We start from the raw sequence: 6570 nt of genomic DNA, 5'->3' as shown, positions 1-6570 counted from the left end.
GCTTAAATCCAACCTTTTCAGTAATTATTTCAAATGTAATTTAAATACTCCAAATAAAACACAGATTGTCAAACTGGATAATAAAAGTACCTATAAGAGATGCATGCCAAATATTATGGTATAGATAAGTTGAGAGTAAAATAATTTCCAAGTATACCAAGGAAACAACAAGGACAAGAAATCTTATGTGGCTATATTAATATAAGAAAAAGTAGACCTCCAAACGAGCAATATTACAACAGACAGCTATTTCATAATGACAAAATGTCAAGTAATTATGAAGACATAATGCTGTATTGCTGACAGAATAACTAAAGAAAATTAAGATAAAATAATTTTGACAACAGCTTGACCTAATCGATATTGACCAAGACAATAGAATATATGTTCTATTATGCTACACATGAAACATTTATCAATAGGCTATAGACCACAAAATATCTCTCAAGAAGTTTCAAAACACTGTAATCATGGAAAGTATGCTTTCTGACCATAATGAAAATGAGTTGAAATGGGTAAAAACAAGCTACCCAGGAAAGTCTACACTATTGGAAGATTTAAATACACCTTAAAATGCCCTTTAGCTCAATGAAGAAATCATAAGAAACACCTTTAAATACATTGAACTGAATACAAATAAAAATATACTATATCAAAATGTATGGGATAAAGTTAAGCAGACCCAGAGTAAATTTTTTGTATAAATGCTTATTCTAGAAAAGAGAAGTTCAAAACAAGTGAACTAATTTCTACCTTAAAAAGAAAATCTAAAACAAGAGAGCAAATTAAGTCCAAAACAAGTAGAGGAAAGGAAATAAAACAGAAATTAGAAATCAATGAGACAGAAAACAGAAACAGGAGAAAATCAACATGGCCAAAAGTTAGTTCTGTGAGAAAGAAAGAAAACGCAAATTATACATATCAGGGATTAATGAGATTGTACAGTTGTAGACACAAGAGACTTTAACAAGATAATGGAATATTGTGAAACATTATATACAAATTTTCATTACTTGGATGAAAGGGTGACTTCCTTGAAAAAAACTTATAAAAAATTTCACAAGATTTAATGGAACATAGGAAGTAATTGACATTTATTAAAGTAATTAAATTAATTGTAAAATACCTGCACATAAAAACATAAAATTAAATAAATAAAAAAATAAGCAAACCCCAGATCTAAAGAATTTCACTGGTGAATTCTTTCAAACGTTTTAAAAAAATAAAATTTTTAAATTATTTCAGAAATAAAGAAGGGGGAAATTCCAAACTTGTTTTATGAGTCAGAATCCTGATACCAAAATTACAAAACCTAGGAATGCAAAATTGACTTCAACTTAAAGAGCTATCACCATTCTAATCTGTGATTCTAATGAATTTGGCTATCTTAGATACTTTATACAAGTGGAATCATACAGTTTGTCCTTCTGTGACTGATTTACTTTACTTAGCATTAATGTCCTCTAGGTTCATCCATGTTGCATATTGACGGGCTTTCTTGTTTTAAAGCTGAATAATATTCCGTTGTATGAATATACCACATTTTCTTTATCTTTTCATCTGCCAATAGACATTAACCTTATTCCCACATTTTAATTAGTGTAAATAATGCTGCAATGAGCCTGAGAATCATCCCAATCTCCATTCTTTCAGATAAATAACCTGAAGTGAGACTACTAGATCATATGCTAGTTCTACTTTCTTAATTTATTTGAGGAACCACCGTACTGTTTTCCATAGAGGATGCACAGTTTTACTTTCCCAGAAACACTGTAGAAGTGTTCCAATTTCTCCCCATTGTTAACACTCGTTATCTTTTTCTTTTAATAAGACCATTCTAAAGGGCTTGAGGCAATATCTCTTTGTGGTTTTGATTTGCATTTCCCTGATTAGTGATGCTGAGCATTTTTTTCATGTATCTGTTGGTCATGTGGATATTTTCTTTGGAGAAATATCTATTGCTGATTTAAAAAAAAAAAAAAACTCTCAGCAAGCTAGATAAAGAAATTTTCTCGAAGTGATGGAAAGCATCCACAACAAAACATATAAACAATACTATATTTAATGGTGAAAGCGTAAATGTTTAAACCACATAGATTAGGACAAGAAAGGGATGTGTGTGTTCATCACCTCTATTCAACATTGTACTGGTGATCCTAGATTTTGAGTATAAATATTTAGGGGACAACTATTGTCACTGAAGCCCAAATCTTGGTCATCCTCAGAAAAAAAAAAAAGTTGATTAGGTTGTATATAATCTAATTTTACTTGCTAATTTAATTTCTCTAAAATTGCAGCTTGTATCAACTCTAGAATTTATTGGGCACCTCCTAGGACATAAACACTGGAATTTGGTGAGAGACGTCAAATAGGAAAGAACCTGGCTCTGACATAAATTCAACACACGGAGGGGGACACATGTTATGAGACTGACCTGGCCTCTTCATCTCATAAAAGGGGTTCTTGTTGCTTGTAACACAGATTAAAACTATTTCAATTACATTCAAGATAAAAAGATTAGCAATGGTATGTAAGATGAAAAAATCACCCCGCTGGAAGACGAAAGTCTCACAAAAGGATATTTAAGCTAGCCAACACTTTGAAATTCAGGCAGAGATCGTGATTTCTGGGTGAACTAAAGTAGCAAGAACAAAGTAGAGGCTCCAATTCTAGGAAAAATGGGTCCTAATAAGGTTTACAATCCAGAAACTCAAGATATCCAGACAGAAGGATGCAGTCTCCGCTTTCAAGGCAGCAGCAGTACCTGGATTACTAAGCCAATCCCCAACACAATCATAAACACAAATTTGATTGAGGAAGAAGCTTGCCCACCAGAAGATTTAGGTTATTACAAGGTAGAATGTGATAGAGAAAATGAGCATGGGACTGGAAAGAAAAGGAGGTAGCCCCATGATTACAACTGGAATATATGTGTCAGCGATGGTGCGGAAATAAGACTGAAGAGAGAGATCCTTAAACCCCACGTGCCTTACATCAGGACTAATCCTGGACACAGGCTGGAAAGCATAGCCTACAGGTGGTGAGGCAGGAGGAGTGGGCTCAGCTGTGAGAAGGAGAAGGAAATATGGCTGAAAACTAGATAGGGGTCTTGAAATCACACCGAGGATTTGGGCCTTTGCTGCTGTCTGCCAGCAGCTGCCAGTAGTTCTCACACTTTGGCTGGCAACAAAATCACCTGGGGCAGTGGTGCGGAAGCGGGGGGAGTGTTGTAAAACCACAAGTGACCAGGCAAAAAACACCTGTATGTTTTCCAATTCAGTAAGTACAGAAATATTAATTGGAAAAAGGTGGAGGTCAGACATTGATAGTGCTGTGGACTGCTCCAGGGACGTAAGCATGATCTTTAGAGAGGTGACTCTAATCAATTGAGGGCAACCACTGGACAGAAAGAGGTCCAGACCAACCATACACAGAGACATCATACAACTACACTTTAGCAACCTCTCCAAATAACATGTCTCTTAGTGAAACTTGGGAGGTTGCAAGTTAAAAACATAAAATCCAGTGGCATTTATGTATCCTAGGCACTTACATTTGTCTGATTCTTCCAACTTGCCTTTGCTTGGTTAGAGTTTTGGGTAGATAAGAGGTGGATTTACATGTGCTAGTGTGAGAACTTTGATACACTCATTTAGACATTGACCTACTATCTTGTTTGAAAGCTAAAACCCAAAGAAATTTGTCTTCTTACATAAAACAAATTCAGCCCTTGCCTTCCTTGTAGATTACATCTTCCACTAGCAGTAATAAAAAAGTAACAATATGCATAAGTCAAAGTATCTTCTTAGATCCTCTGTAGTGTTTTATTATTTAGTTGTGTTAATTAAAGTAACTGTCTCAAAATTTCAAGGAATGCCTGAGAAGAAATTCATGTTCAAAGGCTGCCCTCTTGTGACAATGTGTTGTATGCTTTACTGTAAAAGTAACCTTATTTTACCTTATAACCTCTACAATCCAATTCATAACAGCATAAAAAGGAAACAAAACCTTACATAATTTTGAATTTTAAAAAGTACCTTGTTTATATGGCTCCTTTAGCTAATGAATAGTCAATTTGGTAAATATTCAAGTGAGTTGAAGGTTTGAATATCTCACTTAACTAGCTTGATGAATGTATTTCTAAACCTATACAACCCACTCCTCTGCTTTTAAAAAATTAAAGTTAGCTGTAGATTGAGATGTCAGTGACACAGTTCATAGAACATAACTTAGATTGTCATCTACATTACTGTAACTACAAATACCACCCTCAGATGGAAGAATAAGTTTTATCAGTGAACATCTCTAATTGAACTATAAATGGTGTATGTCTTCTGGTTTTTACAAGCTCTTGGTCTAACACAGGGGATATATGATGTAAAAATTACAAAGCAAGGTCACTCACGGTGGCTCATGCCTGTAATCCCAGCACTTTGGGAGGCCAAGGCGGGCGGATCACAAGGTCAGGAGATCGAGATCATCCTGGCTAATATGGTGAAACCCCGTCTCTACTAAAAATACAAAAATTAGCTGGGTGTGGTGACACACGCCTGTAGTCCCAGCTACTCAGTAGGCTGAAGCAGGAGAATCGCTTGAACCCAGGACGCTGAGGTTGCAGTGAGCCGAGATCGCACCACTGCACTCCAGCCTGGTGGCAGAACAAGACTCCATCTAAAAATAAATAAATAAATAAATAAATAAATAAATAAATAATAAAATAGCAGTGACTATAATGTTTTGTGATGTTAAACTTTGAGAGCTTTTTTTTTTTCTTTCTTTTCCCAAGTGCCTTTCCCAGTTCCAGGAGCAGAGTTATTCTAAGCCCACTGATGTAAAGGAATAGAAAGAAAAGGTTTGTTGGAAAACCTAATAACCTGCTTTCTGTCTTTTGTTTTTTAAAAGCTTGAGCATTTGGGAGAATTTGGAAAGATTGTGGAGTAAGTGCAAAGAAGGAATTTGTTAACAAAAATCATATAGGGTAAAATGAGTTTTTTCCAGGTTAGAAAATATCCACTCCCTACCCTCCTACATTCCTTTCCCATGGTTAAGAAGAGGAAAAAACAAAGGCCTCTTGGTGAGCAGTGGTGACTTAGGCAGTTTCTTAGAAATATTCTAGAAGGCATAGTCATCTTTTAAAAAAAAAATAGCTACAAGGATATGTCTAAGCAGAAGGGTCCATGGGCCAAATTACGTGTAGATTTTTGCATTCCAAATATGGTAAAGAAGAAGCAGGAAGCTGGGGCTCCTTAACAGGTCACACAGAAATGGACAAGGAAGAGGCCAGCAGCAGCTTGTGGTGACAAGATGTCAAGCCCCAAATGTTAAACCCACCAACCATCCTCCAAATTCTGGCTCTGTTTAACAAGGCTGTGGTCTGACACTACATGCCGCCTCAGTGACTAAAGCATAATTTCCCGTCTCCTGGGAGTGTTGACAGCTGACTCCTGGCAACAATACTCACAGCACAGTAAAGTTCCTTCATCCAAGTTCATGTCCCTTCTCAAGGCATCCCACATCCGAGAACTGCTTGGTACAGAAATATAATGGCCTGGTTTTCTTGCTACAATTCGAGGTCATTAGGTAAACTCACCAAGATCTTGTAGAGTGGACTGCGGCCATGATAGTGATTGCATTCCAGCCGACTTCCTGCTCCACCCAATCCTATTGCTTTCACTCTTCCACAGGTGTTGGGAATATCATTTCAACCTCCTTGCATGCAAATCTCCAACTCGGAGTCGGCTTCCTAGGACACCTGACTGGTGATATCTCTATCACTATCACAGTACTTAGAGGGGAGCATCTTAAAATGATTGAAGGCTAACTGCCCTAACAGCACAGACAGATGATGGCTTAAAATAGAATTTAAGTGGATTTAAAAAAACATGAAAAAAGTTGACATTGCACGCTCATATGAGCTTATGGATCAAACCATGTGTATGATTTCTAAGATCCCTCGTGCAGTATATATTTGCACTGTTTATAAATGACATCCCCTTGAATTGAATTCAGTGCAATTCAAAACAGTAATTTGTGGGAAAAATTAGATATGCAGATAGCCTGGACTCTAGAGAAGCACACATCATTTGGAGAATAATAGTGAACCGGCTAGTCTATGAGGGAAGAAAACAGAGTGAATATAGACTATTAGTGAACAAGGATATTTTCCCATGTATATTCAAATTAAGGTGAACTTCTTTAGAGAATTGTGCCTTAGAAAGAAAAAGTATTTCCCTGTATTTGAGTCCTCACAAGTTTTCCTACGATGAGTGCTTTTGTGATTATTTTGAATAACAAAGTAATATTTAAAGAAACTCTCTTGCCCTGAATGTACTTTAATTTATGTCAATTGATGTTGCATATAGAGATCATCAGAGTCAAGCTACAAGAAAAAGAGGAACATAACTTAGCAAAGACTTAGAGGATTAGTCCTAATAGTGTGAAATCAAAATTTCAAGTGAGGGAATAAATGCAGCTTTTAATGATTACTTAAATGAAGTTTAACTCTAGCAGGATCTACAAGAAATTGGCAACCTTTGGCTTCAGTAACAGAAACTCAGGATATATGCCCTT

General features: G+C 36.1%; 1 annotated feature.

The window, feature by feature from the left end:
* Positions 5482-5983: an enhancer, noted in NCBI's record as "OCT4 hESC enhancer chr1:142921538-142922039 (GRCh37/hg19 assembly coordinates)". NCBI's record gives its function as "activates a minimal SCP1, AML or CMV promoter by ChIP-STARR-seq in primed H9 embryonic stem cells {active_cell/tissue: H9 hESC(primed)}" and the evidence as "EXISTENCE:reporter gene assay evidence [ECO:0000049][PMID:30033119]".

The sequence above is a fragment of the Homo sapiens genome, unplaced genomic scaffold (genome assembly GCF_000001405.40).
Source record: "Homo sapiens unplaced genomic scaffold, GRCh38.p14 Primary Assembly HSCHRUN_RANDOM_CTG42".
Lineage (NCBI taxonomy): Eukaryota > Metazoa > Chordata > Mammalia > Primates > Hominidae > Homo > Homo sapiens.
This window is presented reverse-complemented; position numbering and strand designations above follow the sequence as displayed.